At 41.2% G+C, this 26,719-nt stretch overlaps 1 long non-coding RNA gene across 3 annotated transcripts, besides 3 other annotated features; it reads right to left on the bottom strand.

The window, feature by feature from the left end:
• Positions 1 to 596: 596 nt before the first annotated feature.
• LOC105374031 (uncharacterized) lies at positions 597 to 26,206 on the bottom strand. Of its 3 annotated transcripts, XR_007095997.1 has the most exons (8): positions 25,507 to 26,206; positions 15,620 to 15,701; positions 13,120 to 13,301; positions 12,421 to 12,808; positions 5,573 to 6,261; positions 3,300 to 3,399; positions 2,637 to 2,883; positions 597 to 2,246 (listed from the first exon to the last, which is right to left on the bottom strand). It is a non-coding gene; the product is annotated as an uncharacterized LOC105374031 (long non-coding RNA). The 3 variants fall into 3 exon arrangements; XR_001740841.2 differs by lacking the exons at positions 12,421 to 12,808; positions 13,120 to 13,301 and having other exon boundaries at positions 1,431 to 2,883; XR_001740843.2 differs by lacking the exons at positions 12,421 to 12,808; positions 13,120 to 13,301; positions 15,620 to 15,701 and having other exon boundaries at positions 1,431 to 2,883.
• Positions 18,939 to 19,493: a transcriptional cis regulatory region, noted in NCBI's record as "candidate enhancer chr3.3177 targeted for multiplex CRISPR interference". NCBI's record gives its function as "positively regulates CD47 gene expression with high confidence in K562 cells {active_cell/tissue: K562}" and the evidence as "EXISTENCE:mutant phenotype evidence [ECO:0000015][PMID:30612741]".
• Positions 22,308 to 22,377: an enhancer, noted in NCBI's record as "active region_20208". NCBI's record gives its function as "activates an Ori minimal core promoter by ATAC-STARR-seq in GM12878 lymphoblastoid cells {active_cell/tissue: GM12878}" and the evidence as "EXISTENCE:reporter gene assay evidence [ECO:0000049][PMID:35858748]".
• Positions 23,458 to 23,527: a silencer, noted in NCBI's record as "silent region_14594". NCBI's record gives its function as "represses an Ori minimal core promoter by ATAC-STARR-seq in GM12878 lymphoblastoid cells {active_cell/tissue: GM12878}" and the evidence as "EXISTENCE:reporter gene assay evidence [ECO:0000049][PMID:35858748]".
• Positions 26,207 to 26,719: the final 513 nt, after the last annotated feature.

The raw sequence follows: 26,719 nt of genomic DNA, 5'->3' as shown, positions 1-26,719 counted from the left end.
TAAAACTTTTAAATAAAATTTTCATTTGTTAACTCTCAGTCCTTCTCCTTTATCATAATTCACTTTTCCTATCATGTTCAGTGAATTATACAATTAATTACTTTTTCAGCTTGCAAATGGTTTGCTATTGTATATGTCATGTTTTCTTTTGGATGAGAAAACACTTATTTCACACAATAGTGCCATTGCTTTTATTATTCTTCCTGTCACTGAGAGGGGGGAAAGACCAAGAACCAAACAATAAGACTTTTATTTACAGCTACTGGAAAGCTGTCCTGAAGGTCGCTACAAGCCTCTGCCATTGTGTGCTTCCATCTTGGACATGCCATCCGAGATGCCTAGAATGGCAGGGGTCTTCCAGAGCATGGAGTCTTATCTCGTTTCACAGTTGAAGAAACTGAGGCACATAGGTCCTCCCAGGGCCATGCAGCTACCTAATGCCAGATCCGGAACTAAACTTCAGGTTCTTGACTCCCAACCCACTGTCTTTTCCACTGCCCAGAAAATCCCAGGAATTCTTTCCAAGCTCCCTGAATTCATCCCAAGCTAGTGTTGCAATCCATTTGCTTTTATCTCAGCAGCGTTGGAAAAAAGGGGCTGTCATGAATCCTGGCTCAATAATAGGAGTTTACATAATAATTTGCATAATCTGGTTGATTAGTTTCATGTTGCGCCAGCTCCAGCCTTCAAGTCATCTTCATAAGTTCTTTCGTGTATCAGAATCCAGAAGCTGTCAGGAGGAATCTGCACATGGGCTTGTGGGGGTAAGAGGATGGGATCTGGTGTCAGACCTGGGCAAGTTATTAACCTCCCTCTGCCTCCACTTTCCCTGATATAAAATAAGGATACTGAGAGCATCTCTGTCATGTTGCCTTTTTTCAGGATTACATGAAAAAAAAGTAGGCTTAATATTCATAACAACTCAATAAATATTTATTATTCTTGCTACCAATGAGGACATACTATTTGATAGGGGTTTAATAAAAGTTTATAAGGAAATATAAAACCGTAATTAGTGCAACTGCAACAGTTGTGGTGTGGTGCAGTAGAAATCATTCTGGGCTATGAATTGGGATATCTGAGCCCCAGATTCAACTTCACCATGAATGAGCTATGTGGCCAGCAAGGAGCTGTCTCTCCTCTCTCGGTCAGTTTCTTAACCAACAAATCTAATCCTAATCTCCAAATGGGAGAGAGGAACTCCCTGAAAAGTACAATTTAACTGACTCACAACCTGTCAAAGCTACCCAATCTTACAGCAGAAGAAGGGGAACCCCTGCCAAGAATTATTGTCCCCTGCTCAATGAGGAAGGTGATTCCTTGGTCCGCCTCCATGAGGAAGATAATTGTTGGGCCATCACTCTGAAGCATCCTGGCCCTAAAGCAGGAATAATTCCACCCTTGCCTTCATGGGAGCCACCTGCCTGAGCTCAAGCCGGAGAAAGGAGCAGATGAACAATGAATGTCACAGCAATTCGTTTTGGCAATTAGGCAGGCAATTAGTTCTGCAGCATGTAGAATGGGAGGAGAAAGTAAATCAGCACTGAGAGGTGACAGGGAAATATGATTAGGACATCAGGTGCCAGTGACACCCAGGTGGAAAGTCATGCATTAGGGTCCCAGCCTCCCCTTCCCCACCACCGCCACGACAAAGGAAGGAGCTTTCCAGAGACCCTGGAAAACAACTGCTTTAATAGAAGGGGCGTTCCACCCTCTGTTCTAGCCTCTTTCTCAAGGACATCTCATGCCTCCAGTGTTCACTCCAGGCTATGATCTTGCTGATTTCTCACCAAAAATTCTGCCCAGTGTCAAATAACTGAAGCAGTAGTTTCCTGGAGATTGTCTTCTCTTAGCTGCAAATACATTTGTTTTGTTTTTATAGCTTTGGTAGCTCCTTTCTAAAGACAAATTAATTTCACATTTTTCTTGGGGGTAGGTAGGAGGCAGATACTAAATCAGTGTATGATATTGTGGGGCATGGGGTTGTGCTTTGAAATCAAGGACCTGGGCTTAGATTCCAGCTCCACTACTTACCTAGGCTCCTACCTTTAGTTTCCTCAGCTCCAAAAATGGGCATAATAACAGGATTTCCAGGTAAAATACATGACATTTCCATATCTCTTGTCCAAGGACAAATTAATTTCACACTTTTGGGAGTGTATGTTTTATTTAAAAATCATTTGTTTTGATCTGAAATTCAGATATAACTGGATATCCTCTATTTTTATTTGCTACATCTGGGAACCCTAGAATAAAATAATAATACTTACATCAGAAAGTTAATGAGAAGATTAAATCAAGAACCATATTAAAAACCCCTAATGGTGTGCCTAATTGGGAAGTTGAGGAACAATTAAAGTTTCTTTCTTCTTGCTTTCCTCTGCCATTCTCATCTGAAAGGTTAGACATCTTCTGTACAGCCTGGAAGTATAGAGCAATGCCAGTAGCAGTGGACTGGTTTTGACTCAAGACAAGGAAAGACACTTCTAATGGGTTGACTGAGGCAAGGGGTCCAAGCCCAGGCCCAGATGCCTCCTGAAGAGAAGACTCAAGCATCAGAAGAGTGGCTGGACATGACATTTAAGGTCTCTTTCTACCTGAGTTTCTGAACTAGTATTTGGAGCTTCTTTTCTTACGATTAAGCACTGGGAACAGCTTCAGAGGACCCAGAAGTACAATTAGGAAGTGTGATGACACAGGGAGCACCCAGCGCAGCAGCAATTTGTCCAGAGCATTCACAGTGATTCTTAGGAAAAGTCAGGGATGGAATCCAGTGCTAGATTTCACACGTCGAGGTACTCTGCTGGTGTTCTGATGATCCTCCTCACCAAAGGCACCTTCAGGTTTTGTGAGGCATGAGGCTTATACAATTATGGGAGCCCTCTTTAAGAAGAAGAATGCAAAATTGCAAATACAAAATTAGGCATGAAAGCGAATATTTACTTAGAATGAGAAATTATATCATGACAAATTACAGGAGTGCTGGAGAATTAGTTCCTTTTCTTCTGAGATCCCTTTAAGCAATTTACCCAAAATGCTGACATAGAAATGTTTCCTGATTGTAACCCAGCTTCCTCTCTCCACCTGGAACTCTATCACTCTTAGCAACCCAGGCTCTCACAGGGGCCGTGCATGGGAAAGGACCTGTAACTCAGGTCCTTTATTTATTAAACTTTATTCATTTTATGATAGATCTTCTCTTGTAACCAAGTATTTTTGAAATATAATTTTATTCTTTTATTTTTAATTGATACATAATAATTATATATACATATGGGGTACAAGTGATATTTCCATACCTGTATACGATGTTTAATGATCAAATAAGTGTATTTAGCATATCCATCATCTCAAACATTTATCATTTGTGTTGAGAACATTCAAATTCCTCTCTTCTAGCTGCTTTGAAAAACACAATAAATTTTTATTAACGATAGTCATCCTACTGTGCAATGGAACACTAGAGCTTATCTAACTGTAACTATTCTTATTTTTTATTTTTTTGAGATGGGGTTTCAAAAATGTTTAAGCCTGTCACCCAGCCTGGAGTACAGTGTGTGATCATGGCTCACTGCAGCCTGGACCTTCCCAGGCTCGGGTGATCCTCCCACCTCAGCCACCTGAGTAGTTGGGACTACAGGCACTTGCCACCATGCTTGGCTAATTTTTTAAATTTTTGTACAGATGGGGTTTTGCTAGGTTGCCCAGGCTGGTCTCAAACTCCTGGGCTCATGCCATCTGCCCACCTCAGCCACCTGAAGTTCTAGGATTATAGGTGTGAGCCACTATGCCCAGACCACAACTGCTATCTTGCTCTTATCTAACTTCCTCCTGCCTAACTGTAACTTTGTACCCTTTCACCAACTTCTCCCCATTCCCCACCCCACCCTTCCCAGCCTCTGGTAACCACTAGTCTACTCTACTTCCAGCAACTTCCAGTTGCTGTGGGTGGACTCGTGTCACTCACGTCCCCCTGACAAGCCCATGGCTACATCCCCTTACCTTTTACTTTTTGGATTCCACATATGAGTGAGATAATGCGGTTATTTGTCTTTCTGTGCCTGGTTTATTTCATTTAACATAATGCCCCCCCCAGGCTCATTCATGTTACTGCAAATGACAGGTTTCATTCTTTTTTATGGCTGAATAATATTCCATTGTGTATATATACCACATGTTCTTTATCCATTCATCTGTTGGTGGACACTTAAGCAGATTGCATATCTTGGCTATTGTTAATCACCCAGCTGAATAATTTTACAATCATGTTTATTACACAAGCAATGTTGTAAGAGTGTTAATGGAAAACAAAAGAATAAAAAGGTGGAGAGGGAACTCTCATAATCCCATAATTTCAACCAACCATTTGTTTCTTTTTTCCATATTTCTTTTTCAGCCCATGCTTCTACATGCACAATTTAAGTACTTGAAAACATGGCAAAGATATAATTTCCTACTCTTTTTCGCTTAACATGCCATCATTTCCCTATGGCTCTCTGCTGTCTTAATCAGTGTGATATTTCAAGGCTGTATGATAATTCACTCTCCTGCCATTGTGATAAATTCATATTACACAAACAAGAATTATAAAGATGGGATCTGAATTTTAGCCTGACTATAGACGTTCTAACCACACACACACACACACACACACACACACAAATGCAAAGGAAAGAAAGACCATAGCAACATTGTAATTCACAGAGGTGTAAATAATCTGTCAATTTAAATAGAAGAATCAGTCAAACTCATTATTAGGTGTGGACAGATAAAGAAACTATCAGCAGGTTGGATTTCCACTTTTCAACTAATTTCTTCGGTTAAGAAATTGAAACTCCAGTGAGGATGACCCTTCTCATGGGGTTATGAAGAGGAATAAATAGAGATTGTCATGTGACTGGATACTACAGTGGATGGACATTTTTTCCTCTCTAAGGAGTATTTATTTCTTAATGGAAAGTATTTCTACTGGAGCCATACCATGCAAATTCTATGGCAATAATTCAATTATGCCGATTAGAATGCAAATTATTCCATAAAACACTATGAAGACCCTCCCTCTGAGAAACTTCTGAACAAAACATTTCAATAGTGCTCAGTAGCTTTCCCTTCCTGGGTGGAAATTACAAGTCGAGTACAATATGATTCATAACTTCATGGAACAGTTGCTGTGGGTGGACTAGTGTCACTCACGTCCCCCTGACAAGCCCATGGCTACACCCCCTTACCTTTTACTTTCTCAACTTCTCAGTGGGATGCAGCAACCAAACCACCCTGTAGGGTTTTGACTTTTTAAAACTCCAGTATAAAAGACAGGCTGTAAAGACGTGGCAACAGCATCCAAAACTCCTATTCTAAATTCTCTGTGTGTCATATCAGGCAGCAAGCTCAGAGTTTGAAATGTCTCTTCTGTGGTTTGGAACTGTTTCCACAGTCTACCAAATTTATAAGCAAAGGTGATTACAGCTCATCACAACTCACTTACAGCATTATACCAAGATGGACATAAGCTATTAAAACTACAGCTAAGTCATTTTTAGGATGAAGGTGCACACTAACGGGCATGACTCACCTTATTTTGGGATTCCTAATATAACAAAGGTTGTTGCAAAGGTTCCCTCTTGGGTTTTTAAATCTGCAGCTCTCATGTTCTCCTATTAAGGACAGGACCTGAGAGCACTGGAGTAGAGGCTGCGTGCAGGGCCAGTTCTGAAAGCACAGTCTCTGTTTTAGCTGGAGGTATCTCGGATCCTATGTTGTGACGATGTCAAGGTTTAGACACTCCCTAATCCTCAACCTGTAACACCCCCTCAGACTTTATGGCTTCGATTCCTTGCAATGAAAAACAGAAATTGGGGAGCAACTACAAATAACTGATTCCACACGGTCTCCTCATGTATCGATCTTCCTTCTGCATCAGGGACTCACCTGGCGTCGCAGGGATGGTGATGATCAAAGGGCTTCTTCCCGGCAAAGACAAAAATGTGTACAATTATTTTTTTCCTTTAATTTTATAAAAGACAACGTGTATGTGAACCAAAACTAGGGAATGACATTCTGACCAGCCAATTTTCTCACTGAAGCTTTTGTAAAATGAAATTTTCTTTGCTTCCTATTTTTATGCTGTCTTCTAGTGTGGCTGGCACGGGTAACAATCATACTTGGCACTTCTGTCGTGCTTTTCATCCAAAGATTTCAAAGTGCTCCACACAGGATTTCATCCTCACGACAGGGCTGGGAGGAAGGTCAGTTCTGTTATGCCTAGTGAGCAGATAGGATGCAGAGCAGAGACATGACTCATACGTGGGCCCTGCAAACCTTCAGTGACAGAAACAGGTTAGAGCCCAAGCTTCCTAATTCCTAACTCTGTCTGCTGTTCACTTGTCTCAGCTGATATGGCCTTTTCTTCTAAGGGCTGAACATTAGGCCCAGCATGACATATTATGAACAGCTTGTTAAGTGTCTGACCCCAAGGAGAAATGAGAAGCCCAAATAAAAATGGGTTTGATTTGTTTCTGAGAACTCCTTTTCAGTCTTTAAGAACTTGTACCAATAAGCCTTAAAAGTGAGTGCAACTCTACTGGGTGAAAAATGGCTACCAGATTTCAATACTTGAAAATATCAAAGTATTGGCAAGAAAGTCAAGCAACAGGAATCTTATATTCTACAGTTGGGAATGTAATTAGTACAGCCATTCAGGAAAACAATTTAGCAATGGCTTGTAAAGTTGAACATGTACATCCACTTCAACCCAGCAATGCCACTCACACATAATATACATAATAAGAATATAATATAATATATAATTTCTCTAGAAGAAATTCTTGTATATATGCACCATGAATACAAACCGACATATAGATGAGAAATGAAATAAAATATTATCCAGTGCTGAAGATGAATGAACTACATCTTCTCATAAAATATGGATAAACATACATAGTACTTACTGAAAAAAAGCAAGACTGAGATGAAGAGATAAAAGAAGAATCTAGTTTTGTAAAGCTCAAAAATATTAAAACTAAACGTATGCTTAGAGGCACAAACATATATATAATAAAACTAGTTTTTTAAAAGCAATCAAATAACAAAGGCAAAAGCAGGATGATAATTCCATATTGGGAAAGTTAGGGATCTGAGACTGGGGAGGAACACAAGGTGTATGTTCTAGTGTATGAACTAGGTATGTTCTAGTCCTTAAGTTGGGTGGTGGATTCATGTAATTTTGTTTTACCTTTTCTCTTTATGATTACATATGCATTACACATATTCTTTTCAAATATTACCAAATAATTTTAAGTCAGCACAGATGGGCTAAAAATGAAAAAAAAAAATAAAAAAGAGACTTTTAAAGGAAAGCATAAACCTTCACCAAGTGCGTGTGTATATGAGTGCAGGGCTTAAAATACTGCTTAAAGATCATAAACATCTAAACGTTTTTAGGGCATTTTAAGACATCTGTCAGACAGTGAGTCAAAAATGTATTTGAAACAATTATGACCTAAAAAGATTTACTGTAGTTAGTTTGTAAAGAGTTCATATAAATTGAGAAGGAAAACATTAAAACTCAATAAATGATCTGGAAAAATATATGCACAAACAATTTCCCAGGAAAATTCAAATGAGAAAGATATGAAAGAGGTTTGGACTCCATTAGTAAACAAAGAAATGAAGATTGTCTAGTATAACTTTTTTGAAAAAATCTGTAAGATTAGTGAAGATTGAAAAAATTCTCAGTGTTGGCAGGAGTTCAGTGGAGGGGGCATTAACACTGCTGACTTACCACCTTTTCCAGAAGCATTTTAGAAATAGGATTCAGCAGCTTTAACTAAGCCCATAACTTTTCATTCAGTAAGGTCCTAGAAACCTCTCCAAAAGAAACCATTAGAAACCTAAAGATGTTCACAGTAAAATTATCGTTAACAGCAAAAATTAGTTTAAATGCTGAACAATAAGAGAATGGTTAAAGTGTAGTACATCCTCGACGGAAATTATGCAAGCAATAGCAATGGTGTTTTCAAAAAATACTTAGTGATATGGGAAAATGTTTATACTAAGTGAAAATCAGCATACAGAATTGTTCTTACTGCACAATTTTAGATGTATAAAATATGTGTGTACACACACACGCAAAGAAAAACACAGAAGATGTTGAAAGATTTAAACAGTGACCTCTGCATAATGAGCTACTGAATGGTTTTTAGTTTTTTCTTTGTTTATCTCCATAGTTTCCATAGGGAATTTCCTAGGTTAATAATAAAAAAAATCAGTGTTTTTTGAAATAATGCAAAGTAGTTACAGTAGAGGGGCAGATATTCCTGTAACATAGCAATGCTAGGCCATAAAGTGTCCATTGTAGGGTGACCAATTGTCGCAGTTTACCTGTGACTCTCCCAGTTTCAGACAGGAAGAGTCCCATGTCCTGGGAAACCTGTCAGCCCCAAGGAAACCTGGGACAATTGATCCTCCTTCCAACGCCTGAGAAGCTTATCGGAGTGGAAAGATTTCCCCACCCTAAATCAACCATAGTCTTGATCATTCCTCAGTCTCCCTATAGAAATGGCTATTGCGACCTTGCCGTTATGAAGATTTTTTAAAGTCATATCTTAAAGAGCTTGTGGAAAACAGAGCAGATTGCATAAATGCTAAATAGGCTAGTTTAGCTGCATTATACAAGCTCTGAATGTGCAGTCAAATGGGTCAGGAAACAAGAACCAGCTCTTGTCTTAGGGAAAAGAAGAGTATTTATCTCCCATTTCGGTATTTGTGCTGTACATAGTCTTTCCTTTTGCAGAATGGGAGTGGCAGGTGTATCACGCTGCCAGAGGAAAACTGAGTGCTGGGGAATGCAGCTTACCGGGTGAAGCTAGTTCTCCAGGTTGGAGCTAAAGCCCTGGGGATGAATAGATTCAGGTTGGAACTGCCTTCACACAATCCGGGCAAATCTCCACCTACGCTAAATCCCCAGGAAGTTTTTCTACATTTCTGCTTAGGAAAGCATCTGGGAAATATCATAAGACTACGATACTGGGTATGCTAACAGCAATCTCTATATCACAGAGAAGAGCAGTGAGTGGCAGATAAGGGGGCGGCAGGGAGTCAGCGTGTCTATGTTTGAGGCGAGTCTTCGCTACCTCCCAGGCGCATGAATTCCTTTGGGCAGCCACTTAGCCAGTCTCTGTTCCTTAGTTTCCTCATGCATAAACTGAAGATGCTAACGGCACCCACCTCAGCGTTGTGAGGATTGCATATGTGTTAACAGGGTAATAAGAGCTGGGAGCAGTGCTTGCCGATGGGCACGCAGGCGGCTTATTAGGGGGTGCACTTACAATCAGCCCCAGGGACAGCAAAGGGAAGGAAGCAGGATTGAGCAGAGCAGAGCAAAAGGTCGAGCTGCGATGAAATCTTGACAGAGCCTCAGTGGGGACCACCACATCTTTCCTGACTTGGGGCTAGAGATGGGTCCTTGATACCCCTGCAGTCAATCACCCAGCCACCCCGCGAAAGGGGCTGGGCCTTGACTTGGCAACCCTGAGAGTCACCTCAGGTTTCCTCCCACAGCCCCCGGGGCTGAGATCTGAAATCCATGGCTGCGTTGCACCGCGTAGGCCGCGCCTTGTCCTGGATGCTCCCTGCCGATAACAGAGCCAGCGGGGATACTGAGGCAGGCCCCTTGCTGGGAGCAGGGGACTGATCTGATGGCTGATTTTTATCTAGAGACATCCCCGATGACCTTGCTGAATGTTCCCGAACCTTCACAGCGGTCTAGTATTCTTCTGCCCAGCCTTCCTTCCCTCTCTTCTGTACTTTGGATCAGCCTTCTCTGGCTTCCCTAAAATTGATGATGAACACTGTGATGTGTCACTCCAGTTCCCATTTAGGAACAATTTTAAAATTTGCTATTTTTAATCCTCTTTAATTTTATTTTTTGAAAATATAAAACTTTACATGGCTCAAAAGCCAAAACTCAACTAAACAAACAGAGAAAACCAAAAAGTATAATCAGAGAATTCAGGCATGCATTCTGAAAGGCAGAAAGCAGTGCAGAGAAATTGTTTTAGACTGAAGGAGACTAAACTACATGGCAGTCAATTGGTTCAGGAGGCGGGGAAGGGAAAATCTAGCTAGCTATATATCTTGCTAGATACGAAAAAACAAATAGAGCAAAATGCTAACAATTGTTGCTCTAGATTAAGAACATTGTAATATTATTTGAGTCTTCCTGTAGATTTTGAAAGTTTTTGTAAATATGAATTCTAGGAAAAAGTAAGACATTTCTTTTTGTCGAAGTGTCCAGTACTTGAGTTCTTCTTTATCTGCAAACATATTAAGACATAAAAGACAACTAACATGGCCTAAAGCATAGCAAATAAGTAAAACACTACACCTATGCCCTAATTTCTTAAAAGTAAAGCAAGAACTCGTAACGGGAGATTTCCAGGTTTAAATATAACACGCCTTTTAATTTTCAATGAAATTCTAGACAGAAGAGTTAAATATGTGATTTGTGAGCACTTAGAAAGGAAAGCAATGATCACTAAGAGACAACATATGTTCATTAAGAAAAGGTCATGCAAAATAAATTTTTTTTTCCCTCGGTGTGGAACATCAAAGACATAATATAATTCAATTACAACAAAGCATTTGAAAAAACTGATCGTACTGGCTTTGTGACTAAAATGAAGAAATATAGCTGAATTATTAGCTGAGCACTGCTTCCACCCTTCATTCTTTCTTTTGTTCAGTCATTCATTCAGTATTAATCATGTGTCCAACACTGTACTAAAAAAAAGCACCCTATTAAAAATTAATGAACATGTTAATGTCAATTTAGACCAAAAGGAAAATTTCGAAGATCTGTCTAAAGGCGTGGCCTAGGACAAAAAGCATCAGAATCAAATGTGGTGCTAGTTAAAAATGCACATTCCTGGAATCACATCCCAGACTTATTAAATCAAAATTTCTGGAAATGGGACTTGGGGATCTGCACATTTAGCAAATGTCCTGGGTTATTATTTTGCACACTAAAATTTTAGAACCACTACTAAAAGTGATTCTTTGTCTTCTATTCTGAAATTGTAAACGTTTTAATCAGTGAATTGGGTGAATTTCAATAAAAACTTTGCCTATCAAGCTTGTAGATCGCTGAAAGTTGGAGGTAAAGCTGATAGACAATATTAAAGAATCAAATTTGAAAAAGACCTTGGAAAAGGAGAAGGATGGAATGAAATTAACAATATACAATTTAATAGGGTTAAATGTTAAATTCTGCATCTAAGTTCAAAGAATCAACTACTTAAATACAAGGTAGAAAGCTTTGAATTGACAGCAGTTCACTTGAAAAAGATTTAAAGTTCAATGAGAGTCAAAAATGTGATATTATTTCCAAAAAAGACTGATACAAATTTTAGGATGCATTAATAAAAACCAAAACTAGAGAAGGGAGGGGCAAGGTTGTACCCATCATGTTCTGCAATGGCAGAGCATATCTATTTTTAAATATTTAAATATATACATATTTTTTAAAAAGACATTATCAAACTAGAGTGTGTCCAAGGGAAAGTGACTAGGTAGTAAAGTGCCTTAAACCCACATCATATGAAGAATTAATGAAAGAACAGACTATGTTTCACATAGAAAAGTGAAAACTTTCTTTAATAGCCAACCTTATAGGGTTGAAAGGCTATTGTGTTGGGGGAAGAAATAGACATTTTCTATATGGTTCTGCAAGAAAGAACTGAGGACATTAGGGCAAAGTTAAGGGAAAGTTATTTTTGGTTTAATGTATGAAAGAATTACCTAAGAATTAGCAAGTTCAATATATGAAATAGGCTGTTGCCCTTATGAGATAGTAAGTTCCAGAAGTATGTTAAAATCTCTATCAGAGATTGTGAAAAGGATTCCAATCAATCAACCAATCAACGGAGGTGCTAGGGCTTAAATGTTTTCGCCCCCTCAATGCAACAGTATTGACAGGTGTAGCCTTTAAGAGGTAGTTAAGTCACCAGGGCTTCATCCTAAAAAATGGTATTAGCATTAGGCCCTTTAGACCTCAAGGCTGGAGGAAGCACCCTTTTGCCCTCCCATCCCTTCCACCACGTGAGGACACTGCATTACCCCCCTCCAGAGGATAAAGCAACAGGCACCGTCTTGGAAACAGAGTCCAGGTTCTTACCAGACACCAAACCTGCTGGCATCTGTATCCTGGACTCCCAGCCTCCAGAACTGAGAGAAATAAAATTCTGTCTTTATAAATTACCTAGCCACTGATATTTTGTTACAGTAGCACTAAAGGACTAAAGAGGTGATGAACCAGTAGTAACGGTGGAATAGGAACTAAGAAGTATGTTTAACTGAAACCATTGTAGCTGAAATACAAAACTTAAAAAAAAGGAAAGGAAAATAAATAAGAAAGGATACCTGCAATATATAGGACATCTATCCAAACAGAGATTCATTCCATTCTTTAAATTTCTGTGTAACTAGTTATAATTTGGGGTCCATTGCAAAGCCTTCAAAGCCTTATCTGGTTATACCATTTGTTTATCCTTCCAAAGGAATCAGTTGCTGACATCTGTTAGTGGGGCTATTTTGAAGAAGGCAAGAGTCAGAATGCCCATGACACACTTCCATGGTCTTCTGCAGAGGAAACTTGACCACGGTGAATCCTTAAGTTGACATATCTCAATTCTTAGCCTGTGTTACCCTGCTACAGAACAACAGCCAGGCTTGCCAAAAGTGGGAAGTGAACTCAAAGTCAAATAACATGTAGACTGGCCGGTGCGATATGGACAGCATGGCACAAAATCTGTGTCAAAACAGGGATGCTGGTGATTAATTGAAGGAATGATATGCCCTCTTCGGGTGATTTTTTTTTTTTTTACATTTAATGCACAAATTAGTTTGAGCATTTGGAAGATGGAGCAGGAGCAGAAGATACCCAGAGAGAAAGTCAACTGTAGATGTTGTGAAAAGCCATTGGGTATATTGAAATTAGAAGTGGGCAAAAGTATAAGGAAGCTGTAACGAAAAGATAAATAAAGGGCAGGAATAGTTGAGTTGGTTGGTGGGAATAAGGACTGTTGAAGCAGATTATATGTATACCCTTGCCAGAGTTACCTAACAGCACTCTACTGCTGAGGTGATGTCAAGATAATTCAGTTGCTAGGGGTCATCTTGGATGTTTGGGGGAATTCTGTTCTTTGAGTAGCATTCCAGTCTCCAGTGTCAACTCTTGTGCAGTTCTTGTTCTTGTCCTTATTTCTATGTGAATCTTATACAACACTTTTCTGACTTTTCTGCTAAATGAAAGAAAAGAAAAGAAGGTGCTAGTACTACTAGCAGTCTGGGGCATAGCCCAAGAGGCTTATCACGAGCTTAGCATTTCTTTGCCATCTCATGTTGTTTTCATCTTCAAAATTCCATCTACATTTTCCTCCTTGAGAGATTGGTATTATTTTTTATTAAAAATGTTGTATTCATTTAAAATGGATAATTTAGAGAGACATGGCATATTTTTTGTTTCAGTTACTTCTCATAATTTTTGGCTAATGCCATGTAATCCCTTGAGATATGGCTACCTCGGTTTGAGACATATGATCTTACAATAAACTTATATTACTTTAGGTTATCTGGGTGACTGTTCCCTGAAGATCCTAACTAATGCAGTGGTTTTAGGGAGATATAAGTGTGTGTCTGTGTGTGTGTGTGTCCCATTCCAGAATGTTATCTGAATTACAAAAGTCAGAAAACAGGATTTTACATGTTTTTTAAAGTACTTGATAATTTATGATAAAATTAAACACATGCTACTGAACAATGCAGCATGTGAATGATGGAGTTTAATGTTCAAACCCAAATCTGCTCATTCGTAGAAATTTTATATCTTCTTGTGTATAAAAATAAATGATATTTTGTTTTTCTTAAGTCAGTGTCACTTTATTGTAGGCCTGAAGGAAGTCCATCTTCTTTCACATAAAACCCACTCAAGAATAGGAAAACAGAGAGAGAAAGCAGCAGGCATGAGCAATACAAAGAGAACCAAGGCTAAGACTTAGAATTCAAACTTGGTCAAGGTGTAGACTTCCATGTGGAGAAATTGTTTCCATTAGATTCTATTTAAAAATTAATAATGTTAAGAATTAAGCGTTCTTATATGCTGAAGTGTAATTGGTAGTTATTAAATGTTATTTATTAAAATCCTAATAAGAATTAGACTTTAAATTAAATACTGACTCCCACTCAATTAATTTAAATAATTAAGCCTAATGTTACTGGTGAGGGATGACAGGGAGGAGGGAGAGTCCATTGTGAAACCCATTTTTAATAAAAAGTTGTATATGTAAATAATGTGTTAAAAGATTATCATTTTCCAAGCCACTTTTTTTGTCCATTGCTAACATCTACTTTCTTTAGAAACTGGCTTATACTTTCCAGGCATTATTACAATCCATGAAATTTACAGAGAACCCGCTAATGACTATGCACACCAGTTCACTTCAAAAGTCTTTATTGGACCAGACACAGCGATGGAGCCCACAGCCTTGAGAGAGAAAGGGACTTGTAAACACACAGTTACAGTGCAGCACGATACGTGCAAGATGGGAAATATGTACTGGGCATCAAGTCGGGAGGCTTAGAAGAGTCTTCACAGATGTGGTGATCACTGGGTAGGATTTTGACAGATTACTAGGTAGGACTTTGACAGTTAAATATCAGAGAGGAGGATTGCAAGCAGAAGTACTCTGAGGTGCAGAGATGTGAACCGGCATGCTGTTTGAGAGACAGCTTTACTTCGGTAGGACTGGGAGAGGTTAGAGGAAATGAATTGTAGCCTCAGTGAGAAAAGAAATGGGATCAGGCTAGATTCACCTTCTCTTCTCTCTCTGTGACCTGAGGCAAATTATCTGGTCTCTACAAGCTTCCATTTCCTTATTTATAAAGTTTCTTCCTAGAGCTATGTTGTTTATGATTATGGACAAAGACCTGGCCCCTAGCACTCACTGAAGTCTAGCAGCATGGTGTTGGTGGAGTTTGACATGGTTAAGTACACGAAATGGGGACACCAGGCCTATTGTCTCATAGGACCACCTCAAATTCACCACCCTGCAAACATCTGTGAACCAGTGGTATAGTAAAGATAGCAGTGTAGGCAGGGTGTGTGTTGTGTGAGTAAGACAGACGAAAAGACAGAGATAGAAAGACCAACCCTGGGAAGCAGGAAATTTATTCCAACTGTGTCTCCTACTTTCTGACACCAGCTGGTTATGTGATTATGTACTTAATGTATTTTTTTCTTTCTTTCTTTCTTTTTTTTTTTTTTTTTGAGACGGAGTCTCGCTCTGTCACCCAGGCTGGAGTGCAGTGGCGCAATCTCGGTTCACTGCAAGCTCCGCCTTCCAGGTTCAAGCAATTCTCCTGCCTCAGCCATCCAAGTAGCTGGGATTACAGGCATGAGCCACCACACTCAGCTAATTTTTGTATTTTTAGTAGACACAGGGTTTCACCATGTTGGCCAGGCTAGTTTGGAATTCCTGACCTCAGGTGATCCGCCCGCCTCTGCTTCCCCAAGTGAATACTTAACGTACGTAAAAGTTAGTACTGCCCCTTTTCTTCTCACCCTAATGCCTGTGCTGGTCAGCCATGGAGCTTGTGGTGATTGTACATGCTCCTCCTCCGCTCTCTCAGAAATCCACAGAAGCCTGGCAAATGAACACACCTATATGAGTGATGCCTGTTATAATGAAATCAATACACTTTTAATAAAAGTCTTAACATCAAAGTTCAAACAGATATCTTTCTGGTTTTTGATAAGACAGGATCTCAAATTCATGTGTCTGAAAGCCAGTCTCCCCGAACTTTGTCTCCCCAGCTTGCATCTCCTTCTGTGCTCCCTGTGCTGGCCAATGGCATCATTATACACCCAGAGCACAAGTCAGGATCTTACAAGTCATCCTTGACCTCCCTCCTCTTCACAGTTCACACTCAATCACCAAGGCTCAGGAAATCTAACTCTAGAAAAACAAGCTCGTCTTCTTCCTTCCTTTCTTACCATGGCTTCCTCAGTTCAGGTCCTTATTACTTCTTGGCAACATAATTGGAAAAGCATCTTCACTGGACTCCCTGTGTCCAGCAGAGCCATCCCACATGGTGGCAGAGAGATCTAAATTATAGAACTCTGTTTATAATCATTTCAGGGTCCTCCATTGTCTACAAAATGAAGCCCAAACACAGGAATCAGGTCCTGCATGCTCTGACCCTGCCTCCCTTGACTGTCTCATCAACCATCATGTAATGCTTTGCATTTTGTGCTCTGATTATACCAAGTCACTGATTTTTCCCAGAAAAACTCTTCCAAACCTTCAAACCTTTGCACCTTCGATCCCCTCTGTCTAGAACTTTGCTACTGAAAATGTGACCCATGGGCCAGCAGCATCAGTGTCACCTGGGGGCTTGTTGGAAATGCAGACTGTCAGGCCTCACCCCAGAACCACTGAAGCAGTAGCCACATTTGAACAAAATCCTCTGGTAATTCACGTACATGTTAAAGTTTTAAAGTGCTGCCTAAAATGTTCTTCCTTCCTACTTTGCCCGTCTCACTGGTTCTCATCCTTATAGACCCATTGCTCCACTTGGCATATATTAAATAACATTAACCTGCTCTTTACAATCTTGGAATAAATGTTATGGATAACTTATACTATCTATACTCATAACTTAAAAAATTCAATATAATGCTTCCACTATAATATTTAAAAAGACAAGTAATGTGAAATAAAAGATCTATTTATTTATTTTTAACTATACTTAAAGTTCTAGGATACATGTGCAGAACATGCAGGTTTGTTACATAGGTATATATGTGCCATGGTGGTTTGCTGCACCCATCAACCTGTCATCTAGGTTTTAAGCCCTGTATGTGTTAGGTATTTGTCCTACTGCTCTCCCTCCCTATTTCTTTATTTAAATGTGTTGGTACAACTATACTCAAAGACATAACAAAGTAATGAGATGTTTGCTTAGGATCACTGGGGATTGACAGATACAAGACTGATTCAGGTGTATTACATTGGGCACACAAATACATGAGCAATGAGATAGTCAGTGATGTGATTTTCCAAGATGGTGAACTGCTTTTGGCAAAGTTCCAAAGATAGCTAAACAAAATATTCCTTTGATTCATAAGGCATTCATATTTCTGGAAAATGCAGCTTTCATTAAAATTGTGTAAAGTATGCTTTGTGTGTATATGTGACATGAGTTAGGTTTTAGGTTCAGATAATTATAACCACATTTTCACCTACATGGATATCTTGCGAGACATTCAAACATCATGCTGGATGCAGGATGATTCTTTGTTGTATAAGATTAAACCATAGCACAGCAGGACATCTAGCATATCTGGCCTTCATCCACCAAATGCCAGAGCTGTCCTGCCATCAGTGATGTCATCACTAGTAATGACCGCTAAAATTTCCAAACTCCCCGAGAGGCCAATGCCTTTCCTACTGAGAATATTGGTCTGCCTATAGTTTGGATATTTGACCCTCTAAACCTCATGTTGAAATCTGATCCCCAGTGTTGGAGGTGGGGCTTACTGGTAATTATTTGGGTCATAGGGGCTCATTCCTGATGAACAGATGAATGGCCTTCCTAGGGGAGGAGGGGTAAGTGAGCTCTTGCTATAAGTTCCTGAGAGAGCTAGTTATTAAAAAGAGCCTGGTATCTCCCTCCCCTCTCTCTTGTATCCTCCCTCTTGCTTCCTCCCTTTTGCCATGTGATCTCTGTACACATCAGCTCCCCTTTGCCTTCCGCCATGAGTGCAAGTGGCTTGAAGCCTTCACCAGAAGCAGATGCTGGCACCATGCTTCTTATACAGCCTGCAGAACCATGAACCAAATAAAATTCATGTCTTTATAATTTACCCAGCCTTGGGTATTCCTTTATAGCAACACAAATGAACTAAGACAGCCTGATACACTCTAAAGCTTCCTTCAAGCCTCATTGGAAGGAAGGAAGGAAGTCAATTGAGAGTGACACAGTTTCCCTCTCCATCCCTGGGGATTTCCTGGTTCTTTCCTTCCACGGTGCTCTCTCAGCTCCCCTAAATGTAGTTCTAACCCAGTCCTTTTTAGTGTACTCAGCTGTTAGCAGAGCAAGAGTCTCCCTCTCTCTGGCTTGAAAAGAGAGAAATTTGTTGTCTCGCAGTTGTGGAGGCCAGAAGTCTGAAATCAAGGTACTGGCAGGGCCACGTTCCCTCTGAAGGCTCTAGGGAAGAAGCTGTGGTTCTATGCCTCTCTCCGCTTTTGGTGATCTCAGGTATTCCTTGGCTTGTAGATGCATCACTCTATTCCTCTGTCTTCACATGACATTTTTTCCTCATCTCTGTCTGTCCTCTTCTTATAAGGACACCTGTCATACTGGACACCCATCAGCTGTTAAAACTGACCTTTCCAAATGGATGCTACCATCATGGTACTCTTCTCAAACTGGTGATTTGAAATTAATATTGTTGTCCTTTTCCCACTAATGCGTTGAGTTTGTTACTTGTACCCTGAGGAAATTTACCACTAAAACATATACTTCTTTTAGATCAAATAGTGGAAGAGGCTGTGAATATATTTTTTATTTTTAGGGGTGGGTTAGGAGACAGTGATAAAAAATTAAAATTAAAATACTTTCAACATGTTTAATCTTTAATAATTACAACATATCTCTCTGCCTCATTGTTCTCTGCCCCAGAGTATTCCATAGATTCTGCCATGTCTGAGCCATGTAACAAACATTTGTCGAATGAATTAATGCATGCATACATAAATGAAATGGGCTATATTTCCATTTGTTCTGAGCTTCAGAATTTTTTTTCTATTTACTAGGCTTTAAGGAAGTAAAAAATATTAAAGAGAGCAACCGGGAAGGTTTTTGTTTTTTCCAGTCGTAGAGTGAATGCTGTCTTTGAGGCACTGAGGACTTAAGGTCAGGGAACGCTGTGACCTTCCGAACCTAGCACAAAGGTGGCCTTTTTTTTCCCTCCTTCTCTTCACTGGTTTCATGAGCTGGTGCCAGCTGAGTCTAGATGGTGCGCCTTTACACTTGAATGAAACACTCCCTGCCCTCAGTTCTGGAAGCTCCACTCTGCTGCCTCCATCTGCTGCTTCTGATAAACGCTCATATTTTAAATATATTGCTATCAGCTCACTCCCAAAGTGGTTTGCCGGCTCTCCGTAGAGCAAACAATCCCACTGGCACACAGCCACATTTTGGGTGGAAAGAATTTGGGCAGACAGAAGACATATCTCCCAGTGATGAGAGATGAGAGAGAAGACAGAGGAAATTGCCTGTGGAAGCTAGTGACAAAAACCATGGCTGTGTCCTGCAGACATATAGAGGCCATCGGAATCCATGTGGGGCTCCAGGGCATCTCTACAGAGGGTGAGCACAGTGGAAGTGTGGCCATTTTGACCATGGAGTAAATGTGAAGTTTAAGAAGTTGCATTGCTCTTCTCTGAAAACACGTTAAAAATTAGCCTGCTCCACTGACAATACTCTATTACAAGTAACCTCCCAGAAACTAATATACACAGGAATTTGCCTCCAGCCCTCAAAGCCTCCTCCGGCACATATACTGTTTATGACACTCTTCCAAGTCCCCCTGCTAGTTTCAGCTGGCAGTTGCCTCCCTTTCAGCATTTCTTCCTTCCAGCAACTTATCTCTAGCCAACATAATCACCAATTGCATTTGGGAAGGATGGAGTAACGCAGTGTGGAAGGTCTCCCTGAAGAACATGATCACAGCAGAAGCCACTGGGGTAGACGTCATTCTCTCACAGTTGCAGAGTCATAGAATATTAGAGCTAGAAGGGGAGTTAGGGAACACTGAATCCAATTCCTTTACCTAAAGGAATCTCAAATTTTCATGTCCCAAATGGATTCCTTATACCTCTCCTCCTACCTACCTCGCCTTTTGGTTTTCCCCATTTCAACAGTGTGACTCTAGCTGCTCAGACCAAAAATCATGGAATATTTGGTCTGACAGCAAATCCTGCTGACTCTACCTTCAAAATATAGCCAGTATCTGACCCCTTCTTGCTTCCACTACTATTACAATTCTGATCCAAAACACCTTCATCTCTCCTCCAGATTATTGCAATAGCCTAAGGGTCAACATGGGCAAAATCTGTCCTATGAACTGCTTTGGTAAATAAAGTTGTACTGGAACACAGCCCTACTCATTAGTTTACCTTGTCTGTGACTCTTTCATGCTATAATGTCAGAGTCAGGGAGTTGCAAGAGACCTCACGGACTGAAAAAATATTTACCATCTCTTCTCTTTTACAGAAAAAGTTTGCTAACCCCTGTGATAGCCTATTTAAATTGCAAGTTGAATAATATTATTGTCCTGCTCAAAACTCACTCAGCGTTAAAGTCTTCTAAGGCCCTGTGTGAACTGAACTTCCCCATCCCCGCCTCCCTTCCCGCCCCTGCCCCTTGATCTCTCTGATCTCATCTGCTGCTGTTCTCCTCTTTCTCACTTTGGGCTGGCCACACTGACCACTCCCCGATCCCCGATCTTCCTGTAAAAACCAGGCATGCTCCTGTTGCAGGGCCTTGCATGGGCCTTCCCCTCTGCCTGAAACGATCTCTACATTGACATCTGCCTGGCTTGCCCACCCTTTACTCACTTTATACTCAAATGCTATCATCTAGTGAGCTTTCTCTGACCACCTTATTTAAAACAGCACCCCCTCACTGCTTTACTTTTCTCCACAGCATCTAACACCATTTAATACCATATTTTCCTTATTTATTGTGTCTGTTGTCTCTCCCCATCTCACCACTAAAATGTAAGCTCCATGAGGGCGAGGGTTTTGCCTGTTTTGTTTTCCTGATATGCCCACGGTGTATAGGCATGCTCCAGGTGTTTAATAAATGAATAAATCCTTTGAAGCAATAATGCTACAGCAGAGGTAAAATGTATCAGTGTCTCAGCAAGAGTCTCCACAAACAGTTGTGCTTAGGATAGTCACTAGGAGCCGTAGGCAGAAATGACCTGTGGACTTATAAAGGCATTTTATCTTCCACTCTCCCACTTCCCTTTTTTCATTTCGTGTCTTACCATATCACCGGTGTCATCATGCTATTCCTTAAGTCTGTGGCTTTAGTTTCTACAACATTTCAGAACTTACTCTTTCCTCTTCGACCTGTCGTTATTAAAACACATCTGTTTGGCTTTTTGGCTCCCATTACCAAAAGAGGACCCTGGCGCATTCTCTTCTAAGTTGATAGACTCATTAAAGCCCAAATATTAATGAATGATAATGTCTCTACCTTGTGGAAAATAATTTGCATTTAAACAACTTTCAATGCCTAAGTCCAAAGAGATAAGTGATTGTGAGAATTTCCAGCAGGCAGTTGTCCTGGACCAGCCGGGGTAGTTGTCGAGAGGTCCCTGAAGCAAAATCCAATCACAGCCCATGGACAGCTGTCCACTCTGTCTCTGCAGGGTGGGTTCAGGCATGTATGACACCCTCAGAGTGTGCATGCACACAGATATGCAGGTGCCAATTAGGGACACTGAGACCATCTTAACTTCCATGGAAAAAAGCTGTCACTTGTGATATGCATGCCACTTACATATATTCTTTCCCTTAGCACTTTGATACCTTTTTGTCTAGCTTACAGTCCCACTAGCACAAAGCATTTCTTGGAAGAAAAATGAGGCCAGATAGGCATAAGGCTCAGACCCTGATAGGGTTTGGCTGTGTCCCACCCAGATCTCATCTTGTAATCCCCATAATCCCCACATGTCTAGGGAGAGACCTGGTGGGAGGTGATTGGATCATGGGAGTGGTTTCTCCATGATTTCTCATGATAATGAGTTAGTTCTCACAAGATTTGATGGTTTTATAAGAGGCTCTTCCCTCTTCACTACTCACTTTTGCCTCTCTCGCCTGCTGCCATGTTAGATGTGCCTCTACCCTTTCTGCCATGATTGTAAGTTTCCTGAGGCCTCCCCAGCCATGCAGAACTGCGAGTTAATTAAACCTCTTTTCTTTATAAATTACCCAGTCTTGGGTATGTCTTTATAGCAGTGTGAAAATGGACTAATAGACCCCAAAAAGGCAGGCAGGATACAGATTATTAGAGCGCAAATCACAGGATTCTATTGGCCTTCTGGGGCCATACCACACTCCAAACCACACTGAGAGCTCTGAAAGTGGAGAGGAGGAAAAGATTAAAAAGTACAACTTTTTCACATAAAAACCACAAAAAATAATCCTGATTCACAGACTGTACTGTGCAAGAAACCAGTGGGTTTTCTCAGGCAATTCAGTACTATCAGACAAAATTAAGAGAATTATCCAAACTACTGAAGAAGTGGAGTTCATCGGTTAGGTCTGACTGATTTGTCTATCAGGAGCCCAATGCAGCACTTATGCAAGCCTTATGTAGAGAATGCTACTTTCGAGGACAGGGTAGGTTAGGATGAGCTCTTTACTTTAGTGTGCCAGAAACAGCTCCAGGTGGTCTAGCCCAGGTGGCTGTCACAAATGAACATATCATTTTCTTTTGAATTATGAGAGAGTATGACTCATTTCTCCCCTCTGCACACACTGCTTCATAGGACCCACTGAATTTGCCACCTGGTGAAATGGTTATTGATCTGTCGTTCCTCTAGGGGATCCCCCAGTTTCATTTCCTTCATTCTCCAGACAGAGAGACACAATTGTGTAACCATATGGACACTTTCTGCATTTTATCAAAATGGCATCTTGTAAATGGAAACTCACAAGAGATTAGCACAGATGTCAGACACAAAGTACTTTGATGGACACACAAAAAGGGCATTTTGTAAACTACAGTGAAACCAGTTTCTTAAAGTATTTCTAAACTCACCAAAACTATAGAATTAAAGAGATCCTCAAGCCACTTTGAAGTACACATTGGTTTCTATCAGAACAAAGGTAGAATATGTGCTGCTTTAACAGGAGATGTTAGAGAACCTGCTGTCCACATGAGAGGCTTCACTTGTAGCTGACTTGCTTCTGTCTCCTGGGTGCTGCACAACACCGACTGGCACTTGTGACCTGAAGCTAATATAAAACACCCAGGAGGCCAGGATACAACTTGGGTTCACAGGGATTCTCCACTCTACTACAGGTGGATTCCTCCTGACCAAGCAAAGGTGACAGAGGAACTGGTGATACTTTTACCAAGATAAATCATGTGACAGGCAGGCCACTTGTCTTCTGAGGTCAGACACTAAGTCAGTGGCTCACAAACTTTAGCATGCCCCAGAATCACCTGGAACACTCGATAAAACACAGATTGCTGGGCCCCACTCCAGTGTGTCTCCTTTAGTAGGTTTAGGGCTGGGCCCAAGAATTTGCATTTCCAAGTTTCTCAGTGCTGCAGATGCTGTAAACCCCAGTAGCATCCTTTGAGAACCACCCCTCTAAGTTCAGTGTTGATATAACATTTTTCTTTCTTGCTACCATTGCGGTTCCCAGGGCTTGTGGTTGCGGAAGAGATGAGGGAAGTTGCAGCTCCTGCAGCAGCAGTTAGCGTGTGGGAGCGGTCAAACCCAGGGGCTGTTCAAGATGGATTAGTGAGGTGGGCGGGGCCTGGAATCGGGCAATCTTTCTCATGATTCCAGACATGTCTGTCTGTCTTGTCTGACAGTTTGAACCTAGTTTATCCATTTTGCTTTTAAGGCCCCCCTAAAGATAGTTTGAGTCCATTGGCCCACACCCATAGCAATGAGATCAGTATTAGAGAAAAGAAGGTTGGCAGATGGACTCAGAGAGGCTCACGTAGTAGCATCAATAAACAAACTTCATGAGGTGCAGTTTCTCAAGTGGTTTTGCACAAGTGGTCATAGCAGGGCAGGGAAGGGTGCACCTAGAGAGCCCTGTGTAGGCAGAAAACAGTTTTCTCAGCAGACATTCCTGGCGGCTTCTGGTGGAGGATTCATTTGAAATTGTCAGTCTGAAATGCAGACAGCTACTCTGCAGCTCATTTCAGAGAACACCCATGTGCTCTAGCCTTCATTTTCTTTTTCCTACAAATCTTGTCCCTCTAAGGATACAAAAGGCAGTCTTTGGAGATCTACTTCTTTCTATACCTTGGCCCCAGAGAGGAATTACGGTGCAGTAAAATGTTGCCAATGGGGTTGGGATTAAAAGAAACAATGAGTCTGTAGAATGGTTTCGGTCAATTCAAGGGTGTTTGTGTGAAAGGAAGGAACTAGGGAGTTACTATGGCTGCTGGCACTATCTCTGAAGGGATGGGCTGTGGTCATTAACTACCGTACACAGCATACTTCAGAAGAGATGACACATTTATTTCTATTTATGTTATGTTTCCTTTGCAGGTCAGCTAGGGCTCTGCTCTGCCTCATCTCACTCCAGGACCCAGGCTGAGGGGGCAGCTGCTGTCTGAGCATTGCTGATTGCCATGGCAGAAGGAAAGAAAAAAGAAAAAATTGCATGCTAGGCCTAGAAACTTTGGTCCAGATGTACGTGGTTATCATAAGCAGAATTTTTTTTTTTTTTTTTTTTTTTTTGAGACGGAGTCTCTCGCTCTAGCGCTGGGCTGGAGTGCAGTGGCGCCATCTCGGCTCACTGCAACCTCTGCCTCCCGGGTTGAAGCGATTCTCCTGCCTCAGTAGCTGAGTACTACAGTACTTCCCGAGTAGCTGGGACTACAGGCATGCACCACCACGCCCAGCTAATTTGTGTATTTTTAGTAGAGACAGGGTTTCACCATGTTGGCCAGGATGGTCTCGATCTCTTGACCTCGTGATCTGCCTGCCTCAGCCTCCCAAAGTGCTCTGATTACAGGCGTGAGCCACCGTGCCTGGCCTCGTGAGTTGAATATTATCCACACCGCCTCCCTCCACAAATTCATGTCCACCCCAAACTTCAGAATGTGATCTTTATTTGGAAATAGGGTCTTTGCAGGTATATTTAGTTAAGGATGTCAAGATGATATCTAGGTTGGTCCCTAAATCTAATGATGGATGTCCTTATATGAAGAGGAGAGCACACAGAAACAGAGAAGACCCTGTGAAGACAGCGGCAGAGCCTGAAGTGATGCAGCTCAAGTTAAGGAATGCCAAAGGCTGCCAGGCTAGGAAGGAAGGATTCTTAGGAGCCTTCGGAGAGAGCGTGGCCCTCAGAATAGTGAGAGAATAAGCTTCTCTTGTTTTAAGCCTCCTGTTTATGGTAATCTGCTATGGTCGTCCTAGGAAACTAACACACTGGCCCAAGCGAATCCCACCGCCATACCCGATTTCAATGACACAGGGAAGGACAGTCTCACAGTGCTGGATAGTCTCTCTCAGATCCACCCTCTACCTTTCTATACTCTGCTCTGAGCCTGGAAAGTTAAAATTCAAGAACTGCATAAACAGACTCCCCTTTCCTCTGGCTCCTCATTAAGATTTGCCAATAGTGGGAGTTCAGAGGGAGGGAGGAGAGTGAAGTCATTTAGTTTGCCACCTACCTCCCTGCCAGGCTGGTTGTAGCGGTGTTCCACTATTGAAGGCCACAGCTCCAGCCAGGCATCCCCTCCTTCAGTTTCTCCTTTCTCTTGGGGTTCTAGTAACTGTTTCTTCCCTATACTCCTCCAGGCGTGGGGTGCAATAGCTGTTGTTAGCCAACATGCTCTGTCATTCCTTGTTGGTTTTACATTGCCCCACTCACAACCTTGTAAACAGTCCTTTTATTAATCTCTTCTCAATAACTTCATTTGAGCGTGCCATGTGTGTTCTGATGAGACCCAGGAGACACACATACCACATACCCAGGAGGAGAGTTAGAAATCTTTGGTGGACAGAGTGACGACCTTGCTAAGTTGAGAAGCAGCCCTAGTGAAACAATGGTGGGAAATGCAATGAGAGTGGCAGGTCACATGATGGCTTTTCTTCCACCCCTCCATCTCTGGCAGAGGACGGAGTGTGAGCTCTGAAGCAAGATTCAAACCCCAGCTCCCCCGTTTATCAGTTGTAATAGGAACCTCTCTGAACCTCAGTTACTATTCGTATATGATGAGTATAACAATGCTTTCTTTACGAGGCTGTTACATGGATTAAGGGAGAAAAATATGAAAATAACCTAGCTGTGGTAGGCAGAATAATGTCCCCCAAAGATTTCCAAGCCCTAATCTCTGGGAACTTGTGAATATGTTACTTTACGTGGCAAAAGAGACAGTGTGGATGTGATTGAGATTACAGACCTTAAAATAGGAAGATTATCTTGGATTACCAAGGGGGCCCATCTAATCACTTAAAAGCAGAAGTGGAAGGCAGAAGAGTTGGTCATAGAGATGCAGCACAAGAAGCGGAGACAGAAGAGATCCAGGGTCAGAAGAATTTAATATGCCATTCCTAGTTTTGGGTGTGCAGAGACTACCTACAATGACTCAAAAGAGGCCTCTAAATACCAAGGGAGATGCCCAGATGGCAGCCAGCAAAGGAAACAGACCTCAGTTCTATAGACATTGATTTCTGCCGACTACCTGGATTAACCTGGAAATGGACTCTCCCCTAGAGCCTCCGGAAGGGAAAGCAGCTCAGCGAATGCCTTGATTTCAGTCTTGTGAGACTTGAAACAGAGAAACCAGCTGCGCCTACTGGACTTCTGACCTACAGAACTGTGAGATAATAAATGGGTGTTGTTTTAAGCCCCTAAATTTGTAGTAATTTGTTGTAGTAGCA

The sequence above is a fragment of the Homo sapiens genome, chromosome 3 (genome assembly GCF_000001405.40).
Source record: "Homo sapiens chromosome 3, GRCh38.p14 Primary Assembly".
In the NCBI taxonomy this organism is placed as follows: Eukaryota; Metazoa; Chordata; class Mammalia; order Primates; family Hominidae; genus Homo; species Homo sapiens.
This window is presented reverse-complemented; position numbering and strand designations above follow the sequence as displayed.